At 41.7% G+C, this 23,725-nt stretch overlaps 2 long non-coding RNA genes across 3 annotated transcripts in view, besides 2 other annotated features; one reads left to right on the top strand and one right to left on the bottom strand.

Annotated features, from left to right (window-relative positions):
• Positions 2,025 to 2,714: an enhancer, noted in NCBI's record as "NANOG-H3K27ac-H3K4me1 hESC enhancer chr21:35343981-35344670 (GRCh37/hg19 assembly coordinates)". NCBI's record gives its function as "activates a minimal SCP1, AML or CMV promoter by ChIP-STARR-seq in naive H9 embryonic stem cells {active_cell/tissue: H9 hESC(naive)}" and the evidence as "EXISTENCE:reporter gene assay evidence [ECO:0000049][PMID:30033119]".
• Positions 2,332 to 2,626: a silencer, noted in NCBI's record as "tiled region #8447; K562 Repressive non-DNase unmatched - State 7:EnhWF". NCBI's record gives its function as "represses a minimal TATA promoter and a strong SV40 promoter by Sharpr-MPRA in K562 cells {active_cell/tissue: K562}" and the evidence as "EXISTENCE:reporter gene assay evidence [ECO:0000049][PMID:27701403]".
• The window catches only part of LINC00649 (long intergenic non-protein coding RNA 649), a 40,065-nt gene continuing 19,547 nt past the window's right edge, over positions 3,208 to 23,725 (bottom strand). For both annotated transcript variants that reach the window (NR_038883.2, NR_134558.1), the window contains exon 3: positions 3,208 to 5,157. This is a non-coding gene — a long non-coding RNA (long intergenic non-protein coding RNA 649). The remainder of the gene's footprint in view (positions 5,158 to 23,725) is intronic.
• On the top strand, positions 5,930 to 7,293 carry LOC124905013 (uncharacterized). The gene is made up of 2 exons (XR_007067847.1): positions 5,930 to 6,161; positions 7,044 to 7,293. It is a non-coding gene; the product is annotated as an uncharacterized LOC124905013 (long non-coding RNA).

Below are 23,725 nucleotides of genomic sequence, written 5' to 3'. Positions count from 1 at the left end.
AAAGGAGTGTGGCACCCACAGCTGTGTGGAATGCTGGAGCTGACAATTTGCTTGGAGCTTCCAACAGGGAAATCGCTGCTTGATGACTGGTGTAGACCCATGATCTAGCTACTCTATTCAAAGAAATAGTCGGCAACTTTGCAAATTCTAACCAGGAACTGGAAACTATAGGAAGTGTCACATAGTTGATATAAAAAATGAACTCAATGATCATGGACATCAGTGTGAACCAGATGGACCCCACACATGTCTTGGCACCTCAGAGGCCCCTGGAATGTGTGTGTGTATATATGTGTGTGTGTGTGTGTGTGTGTGTGTGTGTGTGTGTGTGTGTGTGTGTGTGTATATGCCTCCAGGAAAAACATTGGACCCCTAAAATGACATGGGAAAACAGGGGCTCGAAGCAGGAGGTAAATTCAGCTAGAGGATAATAAAGTTATGCTTCTTGTGGTGCACAGACTACTGAAGGCAGGCTTTGCAGAGAGCTTGGAAACCTCCAGAGTTGCATCTTAGCCACCCTTTTGAGTTACTAGGGGAGTCAAAGAACATAAGCCCTCTTAAAGCACCTGAAAGGCAAGGAAAGCCATACAGATTTGAGGCAATGATCATACTTGAAATCACTCCCTTAAAGTGACTGAAAGAGTATCAGTTGGGCTCAAGCAATTAAACAATTGTCAAATGCATCAAGCATCTGTGATATGAATTCACAGGCACATCTGAGGAAGAGCCCAACAGTAATTCCTCATCTTGTGGCTGGACCTTGGGAGGACCCTTGGAATTCCCTGGGAGAGCTCTTATCTAGGACTGGCCCCCTCTCCTGCCAGGAGCCACCTTCAGAGACTGAGGGACTGTGAGTTCCTTCTCCCTAGCTCCTCCCTCGTAATTCCCAACATCTCTGACCACTGGCAGCTCTCCCCAGAGGCTGGAGGGCTACTGATGATTCCACGGAAGTGACTGCATGCACCGATCCTAACCCCCGATAACTCTAAGGATGCTAGGTAGGAATCTCCTTCCCAGGATCATAAAACTTGGTGGAGAGGAGGGGTTTGAAAAAGATTAATAACCTGCTAAGGACGTGACCAGACTGCCTTATTGAAAACAAGGGACTTGTGTGTGTCTTCTCTTCCCATTAACATCCCAACTGCCTGGTGAACAACCAGCTCGAGGAAAAGAAAAAGGAGATTTGCTGCTGTTGCTAGGACTAGGGCCCCAAATACATTAAGGCCCTTGATGGGGGAGTTAAGCCTGCCACCGTCCAGCGTTATGGGGTAAGCAAGCACTATCAGGTCTCTAAGTGGTAAACATAATTTTCCCACATGGGAGACACTAATCCACATCATGCTGAAAGCAAAGTTATAAAGTGCGGCTGTCCCACCCCACCCACCCCACCCCATCTCGGTCATGAGCATCCAGGTGCCTTTTCTTTTTAGAGACAGGGTGTCATTCTGTCACCCAGGCTGGAGTACAGTAGTGTGATCATAGCTCACTGCAGCCTCGAACTTCTGACTCAAGCCATCCTCCCACCTGCCTCCTGAGTAGCTGGAACCACAGGCACATCCCATCATGCTTGGCTCAGTTGCGTTTATGAAGCTTCTTCCACTCGGCTCTGAGCCTTGCTCCTGGAGTCATCCTTCGGCCAGGGCTGCTGGCACCTGAAGCCACTCTGGCCCCTGAACATCCCCCAGCCACACTAGTCCTGGCTCTCTTCTTCACGATGTCCATCAGGCAGAGACCAGCCAATGGGAGGTCAGACCCACCCTCCTCTGAACTCAGTGACATGTATGGGCTTTCATTATGTGCCTCTTCACAAATTTTATCTTTTTTCATTTTTGTGTCCCTTAGGATAGGAATTCCTAGCTCTACTTAATAGATGAGTGTGGGGCCGGGCATGGTGGCTCACGTCTGTAATCTCAGCACTTTGGGAGGCCAAGGTGGGGGAATCACCTGAGGTCAGGAGTTCAAGACCAGCCAGGCCAACATAGTGAAACCCCATCTCTACTAAAAGTACAAAAAGTAGCCGGGCGTGGTGGCAGGCGCCTGTAATTCCAGCTACTTGGGAGGTTGAGGCAGGAGAATTGCTTGAACTGGGGAGGCAGAAGTTGCAGTGAGCCGAGATCATGCCACTGCACTCCAGCCTGGGTGACAGAGCAAGACTCCATCCAAAAAAAAAAAAAAAAAAGATGAGTGTGGTAGGCAGAATAAAGTCCCCCAAAGACGTACACAGCCTGACCCCTGGGACCTGTGAATATTTCCCTCTGTGGCAAAAGAGACTTTGCAGAAGAGACCAAGTCAAAGATCTTGAGATAAAGATATTATTCTGGATTATCACAGCTTCTAAATGCAACCACAAGTGTTCTTATAAGAAGAAGGCAGAGGGAGATTTGACAGTAAAGAAGGCAATGAAACAAGGTGCTGTTCTGCTGGCTTTGAAGATGGGGGAAGAGGTCAACAATCAAGGAATGCAAGGAATGCAGCATTAGAAGCTGGCAAAGGCAAGGAAATGGGTTCTCCCAGAGCCTCCACGGGGATCTTGGTCCTACCAACATCTTGATTTTAGCCCAACGAAATTGATGTCAGACTCCTGACCTCCAGAACGCTAAGAGAATAAATGCATGTTGTTTTAAGTCCACACGTTTGTGGTGCTATATTACAGAGGCAATAGGAAAGTCATAAAATGAGTAAACAGAGACACGTAATGACTTGCTTCAAGTCACGCAGCAAGTCAGTGGAGCTGGAATTCACACTCTGGCTTTTGGATTCTAAGCCTCATATTCTTTCTGTTACACCATGCTGCTTCTGAGACTCTGCAGCAATTGAGAGTGTAATAATCGGGGAACAGATAAATTAGGTAATCAGTGTGTGTGTGTGTGTGTGTGTGTGTGTTAGCAGGATTAGACAATAGGGTACGAAAGAGAACATGTCATTGACTTGTACTTATCTCTCAAACTATCCAATGGAAAATTGAGAAACACCAAATACAAATTATAAAAAGGTATCATTAAGCTCAACATTTTGCCTCTGTTTTTCTGGTCACAGCGCAGTTGGTCTTCATATTGCAAAATAGTGATGATCTTGTTCTGTCCACGTGTTCACCTAAAGCACTGGTCTTACAGAAGGGTTTGAAAGAAAACAAATGGGCCAGGTGTGGTCGCTCACATCTGTAATTCCAGCAGTTTGGGAGGCCAAGGAGGGTAGATCACTTGAGATCAGGAGTTCAAGACCAGCCTGGCCAATATGGTGAAACCCTGCCTCTACTAAAAATACTAAAAATTAGCCGGGCATGATGGCACACGCCTGTAGTCCCAGCTACTCAGGAGGCTGAGACAGGAGAATTGCTTGAACCCGGGAGGTGGAGGTTGCAGTGAGCTGAGATGGCACCACTGCACTCCAGCCTGGGAGACAGAGTGAGACTCCATCTCTAAAAAAAAAATAGAAAATAAAAGATAAATAACTGTTCCTTGTGAGCCCTAACAAATAACAGAAAGTGTATAGAATAGATGCAAGCCGGGACTTGGGTCCTGAAGGCCAGAGTTCAATGTTTGCATTTCCTAAAGGAAATCTAGGGCAATCACATCTCTAACGGACAGCGGTCACTTTCGTGCCAGAGATAAGCCTTGAGCTCTTGCTCACTTGGTACATGTTGCATTTTCTCCTTCATTTTTAACTCCTCAGGAACCCCTAGAATGGTAAACTGGGAAGTCACCTCATTTAACTTAACAAGGAATCTGGGGCCCAGAGAGCTTAGGGGTGCCTCAGATGCTACTGGTTATGACCACGATCTGATGGGTCATCGTTACTTGAAGGGGTGAGCAGAGGCTTCGCTTAACTTCCTTAAGGCTCTCAATGGAAGAACCGCAAGTGTCTGTCCCCTTGTCATTTTCTGAAAAAGCAATTTATCATTAAGTCCTCCCTGTTGCTGAGCTATTCAATACTTTTTTACCTGTAAAAACTCCACTCTGGTTAGTTACTGCTTGGACATGATACCACAGCATTACCTGAGAGGTCACAACACATTTTATGTCTTTGGTCAGAAATAGAAAAACAGAAGCACAAGACCCCTAGCCAGAAGATGACAGCATGCCAGAGCTTAGTGTCACCAAGCTTTCCTTTCTATTTTTGGAAGCTTTAACTTATTAGGCAAACGTATCATCCAACAAACACTGGGAAATGTAAGTTGGAAAGGTCCCGCTAGTTGATTAAATTCCCTCATTCTCTTCCAAGGCTCTCCCCCAAAACTGAAAGCCCCGTATCAGCTCTCATAAGAATAATAGGAGGAAACAAGCATTTTCTAAGTCTTTGATCCTACTCCTGCCTAACCTCCTAATTCAATCTTCACCCCTGGTTTTAAAGCCACCAACACCTCTCCTGCTCCCAGAACTTTTCTCTAGCTGGGACCCTGTCTGCTGCTTTAATCAGAAGACGTAAGTAAAGAGCTGTCTGAAGCCCACTTTGGGGAGTCAATGTGGAATCAGGGTAGAAGATTCTTGATGCCCAGGTGGCCATCCTCCACCTAAACAGGATCCTGCCAACATCATTGTACTGCCCAGCTTGCTACAGCACAGTGACAAGATGTGCTGGTGATATCTTTCAGTGGAGATTGTACTTTGCACTGGACAAGTCCTCATAGATGCCGAACTCATGTCAGACAATAAAGCAGGACTTTAAATAGCATGGCAGAGGCAATCTAGAGCTATCATTAACTCTAATTCTCAGAATCAGAGGACTTTGCTTATTTTGTCAATAACATCTACCGGCAGAGAACACCCAGGCCAGGGAAGCAGTGGGACTCCCCACAGGGAAGAGGAGCCACTGCCTACTAAACATGCATGGTTTGTCTTCACAGTGGACAGTTTGGTGGCCGCAGACATCATCTTCTACAACCACATCTACATCCTTGCCTTTCTGTTTCAAGTTGTTCTCTTGAGAAACTGTTCAAATTTTCAGGAGCTGAAAATGTACTGCCTTAAATCCAACTCATGCCGAGATTTCCAGGTTTGCTTTGAGGAATCCACTGCACTGATGGTGACTTGTTTAAAATTCTTCAGCTCTTCTATTATGTCCAATTCAACAAATAGTTACTGAGTGATTGCCGTAGCCAGTCTCTGCTGAGCTGGGCGTCTTCAGGTTGTCTCGGACCTCATGGAGCTCCCAGTCTATCTGGGAAGACAAAGTTAAGAAATAATGAGCATTGCAAAGTGTATTATAAATAGCAAGGAGATGTTAGTCTAGAGGGCCAGCTGCTGCTGTTGCCACTGCAGCAAATTGAAGCCAGAAAGAGAACCGGAGGAAATGCAGGAAATGTGCCTGGAAAAAAAATAATAACAGCATGGTGGCCACCCACAATGGTGATCAAGTTTTTTTCCAAGTTCTAATGAAACATCCATTCATTTTTATTTTGTGAGATTGAAGCTGTAATAGCTCGGTATACAAAGAATTTCCTGTAGATTAATATGAAGCTGGAAGGAGTTGATAGATTTCAGCAGTGATTTGGGCTATTAATCCAAGCCAGTCATTCATTAACCCTCAGGAAGTTTTCTGTGCCAAAGTCATTATTATTATTATAAACTAAACCCCAAGCCCCAAATGGGTGTATGGCTACTTTTCTCTCCAGGATCCTGAGTGTTTGAGTCAGCCAGGGAGCCTGAATCATTTCCTGAATTCCCTTCTGGTTCATGGGGAGTTAGACTTTGTACTATGCACTTGCTGCCAAGGGAACCCAGCAAAGAGCCCTTTTGAGAGGTAACTATCACTCTTGCCTTTTTTCGTGAGGTCCTAAGTGGCTATGGCAGGTGGCTGGTTGTCTCCCAATTTTTGTTTTTCTATACTTCTGTAGTATAAATTTTAGCTGGCAACATGGCTGCCTGGCCAAAGACTACATTTCCCAGTCTCCCTTGCAGTAGCCATGGTCATGTGACGAGGTAAAGCCAGCAGAAGTGATGAGGGTCACATCCTGATCTTGCCCTCAAAAAATTGGTAGTATCATCGACCCCTTGTGCCCAGTCCCTTTCCCCCTTTCCACTGCTGGAAGGAGAGGAGAAGAACCAGGGTATCTCCTTAGACACAGAAATGGAAAGCACGTATTAAGGATGTGGAGCTACCCCAGCAGCCCTGACCTGCTGACCTCCAGACTGTGACATGGAAACAGATCAACTTCTCTCTTGGTAAGTCACTGTACTTTGGAGCCCCTTTGTTACAGCAGTTAAGACTGTACTCCTACAAACACAGTGCCTACCAAGCAAACCCTGTGGCCCCAGCTCAGGGACTCTTCCATATTGTATGTTGATGCCTCAAGGCAGTGGCTTTTTTTTTTTTTTTTTTTTTTTTTTTTTTTTTTTTTTTGAAACAGGGTCTCAGGCTGGAGTTCAGTGATGCAATCTTGGCTCACTGCAACCTCTGCTTCCCAGGTTCAAGCGATTCTCCCACCTCAGTCTCCCGAGTAGCTGGGACTACAGGCAAATGCCAACCATGCCCGGCTAATTTTTTTGTATTTTTGTAGAGATGGGGTTTCATCATGTTGCCCAGGCTGGTCTCGAACTCCTGAGTTCAAGTGATCCAACTGCTCGGCTTCCCAAAGTGCTGGGATTACAGGCATGAGCCACCACGCCCGGCCTGCAGTGGCTTTTTAAATACATTGTCTCATTTAATTATCCCAATAGTCCCATGTAGTTGGTATTATTGTACCATTTTAAAAATCAGAAAACTGAGGTAGAAATAGATGAAAAAACTTGCTTCAGATTCCACAAGCAAGTAGGCGGGAGAGTTAAGATTCCAACCCAGCCATGTAACTCCCTGTTGCCTCTTCCCTTCCTTGCCATTCCCCTATAAGATGACTTGGTCACATCAACATTCTCTTTGTGGTCCAGGTAAATACATACCCTGGGTTAAACAAATTCCAGAAAATAGTCTAACTTGGCTCTGTGTGGGTGTAACCCACCAATCTTGCTTTTCTAAAGGCAATAACGATCGGTCACCCTCAAAAGCTCTATCTGGTGGTTCAATAGTTCAGCAGCTCCACATTGGTTGAATTCCTATTGTGTTCCCAGGCATTAAGTCTGACACTGGGGACATCAAAACGGATAACACATGGCCCTGGATCTCAAGGAACCTGCCGCCTGATGGAAAATAAAAGAGAGAGTCACACTTAAATGAATGATTTCAGCATAATGAATGTGACAAGTGATAAGATAAGGGAATGCATCCAGTATCACTGCTTTTCCAAGGCTTCTCGAGGGGTAAAAAATTACCCAGTGGGTATTTGAAGGAGAAAGTAAATAAAAGAAAATCTACCAAGAACTGTGCTATTTGGTAATACGTGTTATTTTATCTAATCCTTACCATAAAACTAAGAGGGGTATAATTTTATCTCTGTTTTGCAAACAGGGAAAGTGAAGGCCAACTGGACCTAAATTCCCAAGTTCCTACACTCCACAGGAGATGCAGTGTTGAAATCTAGGTTAGCCTGGGTCCAGAGACCACATTTTAGCTACTGTTCCCAAAATAAAGAAGAAGTTGATCCTCTCTCTTGGGAAATTTTTCTTTTCTCGAGTCTTTTGACTGGAACAGAAAACACCTGGAATTATGAAAACAGCTAAGAGAAAGGACTAGTTCTTTATAACACAGCGCTTTCTGTCAGTCTCAGGGAAAATGTCTCTTGTCAGCATGGAAAGAAAAGCAAGATTATAGGCAATTACTGTTTCTTTTTCCTGGGAGCTGCTTCTCCCCAAAGCTGATGGTATTGATTCTGGGGGTTCAGTCACAGTGTCTGGCCCCCTCAAGTTCTGGCTAATTAGCCCCCCATCCTTCCTGCTAAGTCAAAGGCCCAAGGGAGGGGCGTGTGTCCAAGTAAGGCCAGCCTGAGCTCATCTAGGATTTGACATGTGACTGCTGGGAGAAAAGAGAAGCTCCTTTTGCCCCTCTGGGCATCAAGCCAGGGAGGCCTGGAGGTGAGGCAGCGTTTTCAATCATAGAAGCAATCAAGCAATCATTCAATCAATTTTCCTGAAGTCCTAAGCTGGGTTGGGTTCAGTTTCTTTTATTTGCCAATGAAACCATCCTAACACTGTGGGGAAGGTCTGAGTACAAAAAGCAAGCTCACAATGTAATTTCAATACTTACATTCCTTATGTTTATTTCTGATTTTTATGTTATATACTTTATATATACAATATTTTCAAATGTATATACAATATATTATGTTACACACATAATAGACACACAATATATGTTACACACATAATAGACACACAATATATTATGTTACACACATAATAGACACACAATATATTATGTTACACACATAATAGACACACAATATATTATGTTACACACATAATAGACACACAATATATTATGTTACACACATAATAGACACACAATATATTATGTTACACACATAATATACAGACAACATATTGTTACACACATAATATACACACAATATATTATGTTACACACATACACACAATATATTATGTTACGCACATAATACACACAACATATTATGTTACGCACATAATACACACACAATATATTATGTTACGCACATAATACACACACAATATATTATGTTACGCACATAATACACACAATATATTATGTTACGCACATAATACACACACAATATGTTACGCACATAATACACACACAATATATTATGTTACGCACATAATACACACAATATATTATGCTACGCACATAATACACACACAATAATTATGCTACGCACATAATACACACACAATATATTATGTTACGCACATAATACACACAATATATTATGTTACGCACATAATACACACACAATATATTATGTTATGCACATAATACACACACAATATATTATGTTACGCATATAATATATTCATATATAAAATACATGAGTTTACATATAGAATACAATATTTATATATTTGTATATTTATTATATTTATTATATTCATTATGTATTATATTTTTATCTATTTCTTATATTTGTTATTTCAATGCATAGAGTTTTGACCAGGCATGGTGGCTCCCACCTGTAATCCCAGCACTTTGGGAGGCTAGGGTGGGAGTATCTCTTGAGGCCAGGAGTTCAAGACCAGCTTGGGCAACATAGTAAGGCCCTTGTCTCTACAAAAAAATTTAAAAATTGGCCACGATGGCATGCACCTGTAATCCCAGGTATTCAAGAGGATCCCTTGAGGCCAGGAGTTCAAGGCTGCAGTGAGCTATGATTGCACCACTGCACTCCAGCCTGGGCAACAGAGTAAGACCCTGTCTTAAGAAAAAAAAAAAAACTTAAGAGTTTTCTAAGTTCTGAGAGTTTCAAGCACCCCATCATTTTCAAATGAAACCACACAGACAAATGCTAAGGTTAAATGTTTGGAATCACCATCTTTTTATGTGGCTCCCAGAGCAGTGGTTGTTCATGCATTTCATAACTAATGTCTGGTCCTCATTTTTATTTGTAAGTTACAAAGGATGCAGACAGTAACTTCTGGCTTAGTCACCAGCCCCGCTCTACGAGATGTCAGCTGTGCATACTTGAGAGTTGTTAAATTTATGTTTCCTCCTGAATTGCCATCTTTGTCTAACAAAACCCATTCTATGATAAGCTACTTCCATTTTTTTCTTCTTCTAAAAGGTATTACTCAAAATGGATTTCCCCAGAATCTCACAGTTTTCCAGAATCTGTGACCAAAAGTGGGACTATTTTTCCATCTCTATACTGGGGGCCTGGCCTGAAGTATAGGCAGGTTTGGGGGTACCTATATGGGGTGTCATAGGGCTTTGGGGTTCCTGCCTCACTCCAGGGCTTTACCACCTGCTTTCTGAGCCCTAAGAGTCCTTCCCCATGGAGCAATCTCAATTAGAGATGCCTTCAGAATGTAATTCTGCCTGGGAGAGGTGACACATGGATAAATCCACAGTAAGAAACAAATAGCTGGAGCCGATTCTTTCTAATTCTGCAAGGAGAAAGGGTGAAGTGAGAAAAGGTGGGCAGAGGCTGCCTGATCCTGGGAGAAGCAGCCCACGAATGGGGAGTGAGGAGGAGGGATTCTGAAGGAGGAGGCTGAGAGTACAGGAGCTGCCCCTACAGCTCAGCCTGGCCAGCCATGGGATAATCCTGCCTGTGGCTTCCACTAGCCACATGACCTCAGGCAATGCCTTAACTTCTCAGTATCCTCATCTGGAAGTGGAGACAATCATACCTACATCACAGGGTGTTGTGTTCGTAAAATCCCTCACATCTATGGACTGTGCAACATGATGCATGAGGTTCACTATCAGTGGACAGAAATTTAATCCCTAAGGATGTCAGGTAAATATTTGTTGAATGTTAGTGAATGAATGAATGCGTGAATGAATGAATGATCAGCCCTCCCTCCATTCAGTCAACCACTCAGTAACCTCTTATCTCCCATCTGCTTTGAAAACCACTACATTCAACATTCATTCAAGAGATTATTTATTGAATGCGTACCATGTGCCTGGAAGTCAGAACCTGCTCTGTAATTTTCCAGGTCCAGCATAAAATGAAAGAGGAGGGTCTTGTCCAAAATTTTGTTAGAGTTTCAAAATAGAGACAGCAGGGCATGCAGCTGGCCACACCGTCAGCATTTTAGGAGTCAGGGACACAACGGTGACAAAATAAGCATCCCTACCCTTGTAGAGCTCACATTCTAGCAAGAAGAGATAGACCATAAACCAAATCATTTTGTTTATGCAAGACATATAAACAAATATATCAGAAAAATATATAGAGAATGTTAGAGAGTGATTAGTCCTAGGGGGAAATGGATGAGGAAAATGGGCAAGAGAGTGGAGGGGTGGGGTTATTTGATTTTAATGAGGATGGTCAGAAAGGCTTCACAGAGAAGGGGAATCTGAGCGAGGACGAAAGAGACAGCGGATGAGCTGAGCAGATAGCTGGGGAAAAGGCTTCCCGACAAAGGGAACAGCACATGCAAAGGCTCTGCTGGCAGCATGCCTGGTGTGTCCAAGGAAGAGCACGGGGCTTGGAGCAGCACTAGATGAAGTCAAAGAGGTAGAAGGTCTGGAGGACTCGAGCCAAGGCTCCCGCAATTGTGCAAGGACACACAGGGTGGCCTGACGCAGAGTGAGACAGCGAGGTGGCGAGAAGTGAGTAGATTCTGCATGTCTTTGGAAGGCAGGGCCAAAGGATTTGCCTACACATTGAATATGGCATGTGAGCAATAGAGAGGGGTCAAGAAAGCTCCAAAGTTGGGGGACTGAATAAAGCCCAAAGAAGAATCAAGCTGCCATTGCTGAGGAGGAGGTGGTGGGGAGGAGCAGCTCTGGGGGCATCACAGGGGCTCAGTTTGGGACACTTTAAGTCTGAGATGCCTCTTAGTGGTTCAAATAGAGGTACAGGGTAGACAGAGAGAGGAATTTTGGAGTTGGGGGAGGGGACATTCAAGCAGGAGGTACAAATGTGGGTGTCATCAACAGCAATGCAGGACATAAAAGGTGTCAACCTAAATAATGACAGAGAGAGACAGGATCTCCACAAAAGGAGCTTATTTGGGAATTGCAGGGGATTGCAACCTGGGAAACATGTGCTATGATGAATCATAGGCATATCCAAAGAGACTGGGGCTAAAGAAAACTTTTACAGACAAAAAAACGGAGAATTCCACATAAGCTGTTTAGAAACAAAGACCATTGATTACAGGAGTTCGCGATGTCTCATTAGTGGAGGCTGCCATTGCTGGGTAAGTGTCCTTGAGCAAATGGCTTACCTCGAATCCTCCATATGTGAGGAGTTCCTGGCATAGTCCCCATCATACACATATGTGCAGGGATTCCTTGTGACAAGTCCTGTTACAGGCACGCATATAGGCTCCAATTCGTGACCTCCACCTCCATTTTGTTAGGGTTTGACATAAGCGACTCCATTCTGATATTGAGAACCCCCACAAAGGAAAGGACCCCCAGGAGCTCCAGTCCACCTGGAGAGATGAGACACAAACAGAGGCTTCCTAGCAGTACCAGGCAGTCACAGATGAGTGCAGGCGAAGAGCTGAGAGAGGGCATCAGAAAATGGACTCCGAATATAGGGAGTGGCATGGGCCACATCTTGGTCAACAGGCTGCTCAAGAAGAAGCCACAGAAAGAGCTGAGCCTCAGCAGCTGAGCTCAGTGGACCCCAGAGCATCTTGCAGAATTCGCCTTTCCGTTCTACCTGCAGAAGAACTTCCAAATCAACCTGTTTCTCTCCAACTCCACTCCCAGCGGCCCAGGTTCTTCTGCTGTTGCTGAGACAACCACAGGTGGGCTCCCTTCTGCTCTCACTCCCTCCTGAGGCTTCCTCTTCACAGGAGCGCCTGTTCTTAGAATGTAAATCACATCTCATCACTCCCTTGTTTAAAACGTACCCATGGCTTCCACAGGTTTTGCACTCTGGCTAAAGAAAATCATGTGAAAACTTTTCAAGGAAGTGGGGCTCCAACAGGCTGTTGAAAATCCATTGGAGGGCGGCACTAAGCTTCAGTACTCCAGGCAAAAGGAATCATGGAAACCCGTGTTTCTCAAGCTTCTTTTGGCCAAAACCCACAATAATAAATATGTTTTATACCCACACACTGAAACAATCATTATCCTAACTATACACAATTCACTTTTTAAAAATGCTATCCTATTCTGTTCTTTTCAGTTCTATTAAATTCCAACCCATTCTATTCTGTTGTACATCATTTCATTACACTTTTTTTTTTTCTTTTTTTTTTTTTTTTGAGACGGAGTCTCCCTCTGTCGCCCAGGCTGGAGTGCAGTGGTGCGATCTCAGCTCACTGCAAGCTCCACCTCCTGGGTTCACGCCATTCTCCTGCCTCAGCCTCCCGAGTAGCTGGGACTACAGGCTTCCACCACCATGCCCAGCTAATGTTTTATATTTTTAGTAGAGACGGGGTTTCACCGTGTTAGCCAGGATGGTCTCGATCTCCTGACCTCATGATCCGCCTGCTTTGGCCTCCCAAAGTGCTGGGATTACAAGCGTGAGCCACCGTGCCCAGCCTACAATTTTTTTTTTTAATGCTGGTCACAATAAACTATTGATTTCACCAGCCATTAATGTGTTGCAATCTGTGTTTCGTTGGTAGTAAAAGGCAGGGAACTAGGATGACCTACAGTGGAATCAGTGACTCCAGCCAGGTGAATCAGTCTAGCTAATAACAGCTCATGTTCGTTAAACAAGTCCTATGTGCCAAGCATTTTGCCATTACTTAGGTACAATATTACATTTATTCCTCAAAATAAACCCTTAGAGTTAGGCAATGTTATAATTATTTTACTGTTGAAGTCTTCTGAGGTTTAAGAAAGTTAAAGTCCTTTGGACGTGATTACCAGGTAAGAAGTAGAATTTGGGTTTAAGAAGTCTGATTCCAGATCCTAAGCTCTGGCCCCACACCAGGGACTAGAAGGAAAAAGATGAGACATCAGTCTGGAGCCAGGCATCTAAAGATCTCATATACCCATCTAAAGGGCATTGATTCTTTTTATTTTTAGTTGATATGCAATAATTGTACATATTTATGGGACACAGAGTGATATTTTGATACATGTGTACAATGTATAATGATCCAATCAGGGTAATTAGCATATCCATCACCTCAAACATTTATCATTTTTTTGTGTTGCAGACAATCAAAATCCTCTCTTTTAGGCTGAGCACAGTGGCTCATGCCTATAATCCCAGCACTTTGGGAGGCCGAGGTGGGAGATCACGAGGTCAGGAGCTCACAAGGTCAGGAGATCAAGACCATCCTGGCCAACATGGTGAAACCTGTCTCTATTGAAATACAAAAAATTAGCCAGGCATGGTGGTGCAAGCCTGCAGTCTCAGCTACTCAGGAGGCTGAGACACGGGAATCTCTTGAACCCAGGAGGTGGAGATTGCAGTGAGCCAAGATCATGCCACTGCACTCCAGCCTGGGCAACAGAGCAAGACTCTGTCTCAAAAAATAAAAAAAAAAAGAATCGCTACAGAGCTGCAGAGGCACAAGAGGCTGAGGCACAAGAATTGCTTAAACTCAGGAGGCAGAGGTTGCAGTAAGCTGAGATCACTCCACTTCACTCCAGCCTGGGTGACAGGGTAAGACTCTATCTCAAAAAAAAAAAAACCTCTCTTCCAGCTTTTTGAACATGTACATTTAATTATTGTTAACCATATTCACCCTAAAATGCCGTAGAACACTAGAACTTATCCCTCCCATCTTACTGTAACTTGTATCTATTAACCAATCTTTCCTTTTTCCTCCCTAGAGGACTAGAATATTTATGTAAAAAATCATCCAATCACCTTTTATTATTATTATAAATATTTCAAACATATAGAATATAATAGCAAGTAACAGAATTAACTCACAGGTATCTACCACTTGGTTCTATCATTTCATCATATTTGCTTTATATTGTTTCCTTTTTTAACCTATGTCATATTTAAATTAGCTTTTTGTAGACAGCTTATATTTGAGTCTTCTTTTTTATCCAATCTGACAATCTCTGTTTTTTTAGTGGTATGTTTAGCTCATTTACATTTAATGTAATTATTGGTATGGTTGAATTTATGTCTATTATTGTATTATGTGGTTTCTGTTTGTCCTCTGTGTGTTTTGGTTCTGTTCCATTGTTCCTGCCTTCTTTTGAATTACTTAAAGTTTTTAGTATTTCATTTTAATGTATCTGTTGCCTTTTTTGGCAATATCTCTTTGTGTGTGTGTGTGTGTGTATAGTGACTGTTCTAGATATTGCAATATGCATTCCTAGTGTTTTACAGTCTACTTCAAGTTACTATTTTACCAATTCAAAGTAAAATGTAGGAGCCTGACAAACATATACATACTTTTACCCTCCCCCTTTATGTTATACCTGTCATATGTTTATATCTATATACATTGAGAACCTCACCAATGTTATGATTTTTGCCTTCAACAGCCATAAATATTTAAAGAATTTAAAAGGATAAAAATAGGGTATTTTATTTAGCTCAATATTTACCATTTCTGTTGCTCTTCCTTCATTCCTGAAGTTTCAAGTTTCCCTCTGGTATCATTTACCTTCAGCCTGTAAGACTCTCTTTAGCATTTATTTTAGAGCAGGTTTAATACCAAAGAATTCTCTCACTTTTTCTTAATCTGAGAATGTATTTATTTTACCATCATTCCTGAAGGATATTTTTTCTGAATATAGAATTCTGGGTTAAAAGCTCCTTTCTTTAAGCACTTTAAAAATGTTATTCTACTGTCTTCTAGCCTCCATGGTTTCTGGTGAGAAATACTCAGTCATATGAATCCTTGTTCCCCTATATATAATGTGTTACTTATTTCTGGCTGCTTTCAAGATTTTTCAATTATATCTGGTTTTCAACAGTGTGTGATGCATCTGGACATGATTTCCTTTTGGTTTATTCTGTTTGAGACTTGCTGAGCTTCTTAAATCTACAAATGTATGTTTTTCCGAAATGTAAGACATTTTCAGCTATTAATTCTTCAAATATATATTTTTTTCATAATCCAGTCTCTTTTCTCTTTCCTTTTGGTGCTACAAGAACAAGAATGTCAGACCTTTTGGTCTTGTACCACAGGCCACTGAGATTCTATTAATTTTTTTCAATCATTTTTTCTCTCTGTCCTTGAGACCAGATAATTTTTATAGATACATCTTCAAGTTCACTGACTCCTCTGCCATCTCCATTCTGCTATTAAGCCCATTCAATGAGTTTTGTTTTTCAGATATTACAATTTTCATTTTCAAAAGTTGTATTGTATTCTTTTATAATAGTTTCTATTTCTTTGCCAAACACTTTTTTCTTTCCATTTTAAGGTGTTTACCTTTACCTCATGGGCTTGGTTATAACAAGTAAAGTATTTGTCTGATAACTTCAGCATCTGGGCCATCTCAGGATTAACATAATCGATTGCCTTTTCCTTTAAAAAATAATCACATTTTCCTGGTTCTTTATGTGTCAAGTAAGTTTGGATTGTATCTTGTACATTTCTAATATTATTCCATGAAATTCTAGATTCTCCTTGTAAAACTTCTAGAGAATGTTGGTTTCGATTTGTTTAGCAGGCCATTAACCCTGTTGTGTTCAGATCACAGGTTCTGTCTTGCCTTCTGTTTGCAGGGTTCTAGTGTCAGGTCAGTTGTGAAAATCTTTGCAGTAGTACTTTTAGGTCTGTCCTGGGTATATACAACTTGAGGCTGAGCTCAAGATTTGTGTTGGTCCATACACAGAACTAAGGAATCCCTCTTCTCCAGCATTTCCCCTACTCCAGGAGCCCCCAGTCCCTGGGCCATGGACCATTACAGGTCTACACAACAGAAGGTGAGCTGTAAGCAAGCGAGTGAAGCTTTATCTGTATTTACAGCCAGTCCCCATCTCTCCCATTACTGCCTGATCCCCTGTCAAATCAGCAGAGCCATCAGATTCTTATAGGAGCACAAACTCTGTTGTGAACTGTGCATGCAAGGGATCTAGGTTGCATGCTCTTTATGATAATCAAATGCCTGATGATCTGTCACTGTCTCCCATCACCCCCAGATGGGACCGTCTAGTTGCAGGAAAACGAGCTCAGCACTCCCACTGATTCTACCTTATGGTGAGTTGCATAATTACTTCATTATATGTTACAATGTAATAACAATAGAAATAAAAGGGCACAATAAATGTAACGCACTTGAATCATCCTGAAACCATCCCCCTACCCAGGTCCATGGACAAATTTTCTTCCATGAAACTGGTCCCCAGTGCCAAAAAGGTTGGGGACTGCTGCCCTATTATCTAGTTCCCAGGGATCCATTTTCTCAGTCCTCTGGCCAGAAATACAGGGTTTTTCTCAGGATTTTAGGTCCACAACTAGGCTGCCCTCAGATCAAAGTTGGGAAATAGAATGGGGGAAAATGAGAAATTCAGCTCTGAACAATTCATTCTTCAAGTTTTGACTCCCTTCCTCAGTCTGCATGCTATGACTTTTCCAAGTCTTAAGTATTTTCTGCTTTTAAAAGTTTTAGTTATAATCAGTGGGAGAGAGAGAGGCTTAGAGGTTAGACTCCTTCTGGATCAGGACAGGAAGCTGATCTCTTATTTAAGGTTGTTTTAAGCACTACATATACCGCTGAGGCCCCTAATATGTCCCTCCCCCATCCCCTTTTCCTCCTTCCAACTGCAGAAAAACCTACAGCCTGAATGTAGGATCTATTGCCCCCATGTATTTTATGTTTTTTATGAAGATCCATGAATATGGTATAGTATAGTTTTATGGGTTTTTAAGCTTTACATAAATAGCTTCATGATATAAATATCCAGTACATGGTCAAAATCTGTATATTTTCTGTATCTGCTTAGAAAGAATGTATATTCTCTAACTTTTTTCAGTGGGGGGCGGGGTGGTTGTTGTTTGAGACGAAGTCTCGCTCTGTTGCCCAGGCTGGAGTACAGTGACATGATCTCGGCTCACTACAACCTCCACCTCCCGGGTTCAAGCGATTCTCATGCCTCAGCCTCCTGAGTAGCTGAGATTACAGGTGCCCGCCACCATGCCCAGCTAATTTTTGTATTTTTAGTAGACCCGGAGTTTTGCCATGTTGGCCAGGCTGGTCTGGAACTCCTGACCTCAAATGATCCACCCACCTCAGCCTCCCAAAGTGCTGGGATTACAAGCATGAGCCACTGCACCCGGCCTATTCTCTGATTGTTGAGTGTAAAATTACACATATAATTATTGTTCAAGCTTCTTATATTGTTTATATGTTCCATAATCATACTAATTCTCTGTCTTCTTGGTTTATCAATTACTATGAGAGGTATGTTAAAATCTCTCACTACAAGTATGGATTTGTCTATTTTTCCTCCTAATTTTGTAAAATTTTGCTACATATGTTTTAAGGTGATCTTGCTAGGTCAATGGAGGTGAATGTATCTTAATGAACTGTTCCTTTTATCATATGTAGTGACTATTTTTCTCTTTAAAGTGTTTTTATACATGTATTAAAAAGTCCATTTTGTCTGTTATTACTATAGCCGAACTAGTTTTCTTTTGATTAGTATTCCCCTGGTGTGTATTTTCTACCTTTCTGCGTCACTCTCTAAACAAGAGGCATACTAGAATACTAGACTGCATGTGCGTGTGTGTGTGTGTGTGTGTGTGTGTGTGTGTGTGTGTGTTTAACCTATTCTAACAATCTCTTTTTTTTTTTTTTTAGACAGGGTCTAACTGTGGTGCCCAGGCTGGTCTCAAACTCCTAGACTCAAGCAGTCCTCCCACACCATCCTCCCAAGTAGCTGAGACTTCAAGCCATGAGCCACCACACCTAGCTTCTGTCTTTTAACTGAATAATTTATTCTATTTATATGCATTATGATTACTCATATATTTAGTTTTATTACCATTGCTTTATTTTATACTTCCTACTTACTCTGTCTTTTCTTTGTTTCTTTTCTCTGTCTCTTGGATTGTTTGAGTTTTACTGATTCCTCCTTTATCCTCTAAACTATACATATATATTTTTTTAATTCTGCTCAAGAGTAATCAGACTGATTGATTTTTAGGATTTAAGTCTTAAACCAATTCTAAAAAATTTTTAGCCAGTTTCACTTTGACTGCTGCCTCTTCCCCATTACCTTTTTTTTTTTTTTTTTTTTTGAGACAGAATCTCGTCTGTCACCCAGGCTGAAGTGCAATGGCACAATCTTAACTCACTGCAACCTCCATCTCCTGGGTTCAAGTGATTCTCCTGCCTCAGCCTCCTGAGTAGCTGGGATTATAGGCTCCCACCACCACAACTGGCTAATTTTGTATATTTTTTAAGTAGAGATGGGGTTTCACCATGTTGCCCACACTGGTCTTGAACACTTGACCTCAAGTGATCCACCCACCTTGGCCTCCCAAAGTGCTGGGATTACAGGCATGAGCCACCATGCCCGACCCCATTATCTATCTTCTTACCTTCTGGAAACCCCATTACATGTATATTAGAATTTCTCATTCTGTCCTACTTGTCTCTTAATCTCTCTTTCATATTTTCCATCTCTTAATCTCTCTAAACTGCTTTCTGTGAAATTTCCTGTACCTTCCAAGTCCCTAATTCCCCTTCAGCTGTCTCTAATCTGTCCATTGAGTTTTTAATTTTAATGACTATATACTTTTCATTTTTATTAATATTATTCTTTTTCAAATCTGCCTCCTCCTTTTAATAGTCTTATTCTCTTTATCAATTTTCAATTCCTTTTTAAGTCTTTAATAATTTTAAATATATTTATTTTATAGTATATTTGATAGTTCTATTATCTTAAGTTCTTGAAACATAATCCATCAGTTGCTTGGTCGGCTGACTCTTGCTCATGGTAAATTGATTCCTCGTATGTTTTGTAATTGGATTGTGAACTTATATTTAGTAGGACTCTGTTTGTAGCAATCTTCAACTGCCTGAATTGAGGGAATGTTCCTCCAGAGAAGATTTTTTATTGCTTCTGACAGACATTGCAGGGATACCATCACTGCTTGATACCACTTCTATATTAATCTTTTATCTTAAGAATTCCCAGACCAAATGGGTAATATACATTTGAACCTTGAACCTACATGAAGAATTTATAGTATGTTACGTACTGAATGTTTATGTCCCTCCAAAATTCACATGTTGAAGCCCTAACCCCCAATATATTGTATTTGAAAATGGGGCTTTGGGGAAGTAATTAAGGTTACATGAGGCCATGAAGGTGGGCCTTTCATGATGGAATTAGTGCCCTTATAAGAAGAGACACCAGGGAGCTTGCTCACTTGCTATCTCTTGCGACACACCCACAAAGAAGAGATCATGTGAACACATAGCAAGATGGTGCCCACCTAGAAGAATAACCATCTCCTACACCAGGAAAAATGCTCACTAGGAACCAAATTGGCTGGTACCTTCATTTTGAACTTCCCAACCACCAGAATTGTGAGAAATCAATTTCTGTTTTTTAAGCTACCCAGTCTATGTTATTTTGTTATGGCAGCCTGAACAGACTAATAAATAGTAGCATCCAAAAAATCACAAACCTAGGTATTAACATAATGGAAGTTGTGTAAGAGCTCTACCATTCAATATTGGAAGATTCAATATTATAAAGATATAAACTCTCTACAATCTGGCATATCTAGAGTTTCTGTGTAATTCTAATAAAAATCCCAGCGGGTTTATTGTGAGCGTGCATGGAAATTGACAAGCTCATTCTAAATTTTATATGAAAATGTTAAGGGGCAAAAAGAACCAAGACAATCTTAAAGAAAAACAAAGTTGGAAGACTTTCCCTATTTGATATCAAGACTCATTATAGAATGAAGTAATGGTATACAGTAAGATAATGTCACAAGGATAAACAAATAGACCATTGGAACAGAATCCAGGATCCAGAAACTGACCTATAGATATACGGTCTCTTGATTTACAGCAATGGTGACAATGTAACACAAGAGAAATAATATTATTTTCAATAAATAGTGTTGGGTCAGTTGGCTATCTAGATGTAAAAAAATTAATACCAACCTCTATATATTTTTTTAAAACTATATATACAAAAAAAGAATTCAAGATGGATTGGATTGTAGCTCTAAATTTGAAAAATATAAAAATAAAGCTTCTAAAAGAAATCACAGGAAAATATATTATTTTGGACTAAGCAATATTTCTTAAGTAGGTCTCACAAAGTAATAACTATAAGGAAAAAATAAGAGACTTGAACTTTAATAAAATCAAGGACATCTGCTTATCAAAAACACCATTAAGAGAACGAGGCCGGGCGTGGTGGCTCATGCCTGTAATCCCAGAACTTTGGGAGGCCGAGGTGAGTGGATCATCTGAGGTCAGGAGTTTAGACCAGTCTGGCCAACATGGTGAAACCCCGTGTCTACTAAAAATACAAAAAATTAGCCAGGCATGGTGGCGGGCGCCTGTAATCCCAGCTACTCAGGAGGCTGAAGCAGGAGAATCGCTTGAACCCAAGAGGCAGTGGTTGCAGTGAGCCGAGATCTCGCCATTGCACTCCAGCCTGGGCAACAGAGTGAGACGCCGTCTCAATAAAGGAAGAAAAAAAAAGAGTGAAAAGGCAAGCTAAAGAATGGGAGAAGATATTTGCAATATATTTATGGTCACCAGGATTTATATTTCAAACAAATCTATAAATCAAGTATAAACTGTAAATCAGTAAGAAAAATACAGATGACCCAATAGAAAAAATGAGCAAAATACTTGAACAAACACTTCATAAAAGCAGGTATCAAATTGCCACAATACATATGAGAAAGTACACTCTCATTCATCATCCTAGAAATGCAAATCCAAGGTCAGGCACAGTGGCTCACACCTGTAATCCCAGCACTTTGGGAGGCCGAGGTGGGCAGATCACAATCTCAATCAAGAGATCGAGACCATCCTGGCCAACATGGTGAAACCCCATCTCTACTAAAAATACAAAAATTAGCTGGGCATGGTAGCACACACCTGTAGTCCCAGCTACTCAGCAGGCTGAGGCAAGAGAACTGCTTGAACCTGGGAGGCGGAGGTTGCAGTGAGCTGAGATCATGCCACTGCACTCCAACCTGGTGACAGAGTGAGACTCCATCTCAAGAAAAAAAAAAAAGAAAGAAAGAAATGCAAATCCAACCAGAGTGATTAAAATAAGCCTGAGGAAAAGACAATACAAATTGAGGATGTGGAGCAATTAGAATGCTCCTACACTGTTGTCATTGCTGTTGGACTTTTTTTTTTTTTTTTTTTTTTGATACATGGTCTCACTTTGTTGCCTAGGCTGGAGTGCATTGGCGCGATCAAAGCTCACTGCAGCCTCCATTTCCTGGACTCAAGTGATCCTCCTATCACAGCTTCCTGAGTAGCTGGAACTACAGGTGCACGCCACCATGCCCAGCTAATATTTTAATTTTTTGTAGCGATGGGGTCTCACTATATTGCCCAGGCTGGTCTCAAACTTCTGGCCTCAAGCAATCCTCCTGCCTTGGCTTCCCAAAGTGTTGGGATTACAGGCATGAGCAATAGTGCCTGGCCCATATGCTGTTATTTAAAATGAACAGCAACTTTGAAAAACTGTTTAGCAGTATTCTCCAAATCTGAGGTTATACATACCTAAATTCAATAATTTTTCTCTTAAATATTTGTTCAACATAAATACCTTATGTGCAACAAAAACTCACATACCAGAATGTTCTAAGCAGCACTATTCACCAATATTCAAAAACTGAGAGTCACACAAATGTCCTGGATGAACTTTCAAACCCAAGTGCCCTGCTTCCCAAAACCAGCGTGTACACCCCCATCCCCAAGGGATACACCACATCAGTCATGTACTTGAAGCTCTGACTTCCAGTTCACTCTTCATTTGGCCCCTACAGATTTGCTTTACTTTCTTATGAGCTCAGTTTTGCACTGAAGAGGCTGCATGTGACTGTTCATTCAGAACGTCAGGAGGTTTTGCAGCAGAAGTATTACAAGATTACATAGTTCCTGATATGCCTCATCATCTTTCCATGGCCCTGTCTAGCTGTGAAGATTCTTCCTGGCCCTGGTTTTGCAGACTAAAGATAATATTTTGTTGTAAAGCGGAGAGAGCAGAGAGAAAAAAGGAAGATACTTTCACTTAACACCGAAGGGTCGGGGGAGCATGGTTGGGGTAGTGTCTCTCCCCTAGTTCATCTGCTGAGAGGCTGCAGTGAACCTTGTCCACATCCCACTGGAGAACCAATGCCCTGCCTGGCTGGAAATCAACACCCTGGCTGTCCTAAGGGCTCATCTCTGGTTTGATGAGGTTGACAACTATTTCTAGAGGCTCCCATCACCCAGCTGAGCAGCTGTCCACCTCCCTCAGGTCTCTGGGTGGCACTGGGCAGGGCTGGAATCTAGGCTGCCAGGCACCCCTGACTGAGATGTGCTGAGAGGGTCAAGCCTGGAGAATCCCTCCCACCTTCTGCTTTGCCCCTGGCTCCTGTATGGATGCCCTTCAAGGTCACGCCTCTCTCTGATAGAGGACTCAGTTTAATTACCAGGTGCTGCTTGGACTTCTCGTGTCCTAATTTTCAAATAGCCCACAAGGCCCCAGGCCGCATGTAAACAGGCAGGGAAAATAGTAGCTCCTCCTGAGTGCTGTGCATGGCCCCAGAGGCCGGGATGACCAGTTTTCTGCTGACCACTTCTTTGTGGTTGAGTAAAAAGGCCTTCGCATTTCGGGATAGAACTGAGGTTCCTTAGGATCTACTGTCATCTTCAACCTGTGGCTAAAGAACAAGGGCTGGTGAACAGGGAGATGCTCAGGTCATAACAACAAAAACAGGTGACAGTGATGAAGTATCCTACATGCCAGGCACGGTACACAGGGCTTTACATGGGTTAGGTCATTTAATTCTCAAAACAACCCGAAAGATAGAGATATAGACATACATACATATGTATATATGCGTATATATACACACATATATTATAAATAAATATATATTATAAATTAATGTATAATTATATATTATATATAATCCCATTTGTGATTATTATAATCATATAATTATATATACACATATTATAAATAAATATATAATTATATTTTTTATATATATATATAAAATTCCCATTTTTCTGATGAGCAACTGAGACTGCCAGAGGTATGTGACTTGCTCCAAGTGACACAGTTAAGTGACAAACCCAGGACTGAGCCCCAGAAAATCTGGCTCACATCCTT

This window comes from Homo sapiens, chromosome 21 (assembly GCF_000001405.40).
Source record: "Homo sapiens chromosome 21, GRCh38.p14 Primary Assembly".
NCBI lineage: Eukaryota > Metazoa > Chordata > Mammalia > Primates > Hominidae > Homo > Homo sapiens.
The sequence above is the reverse complement of the archived record's forward strand: the minus strand, read 5'-3'. Positions and strand labels throughout refer to the sequence as shown.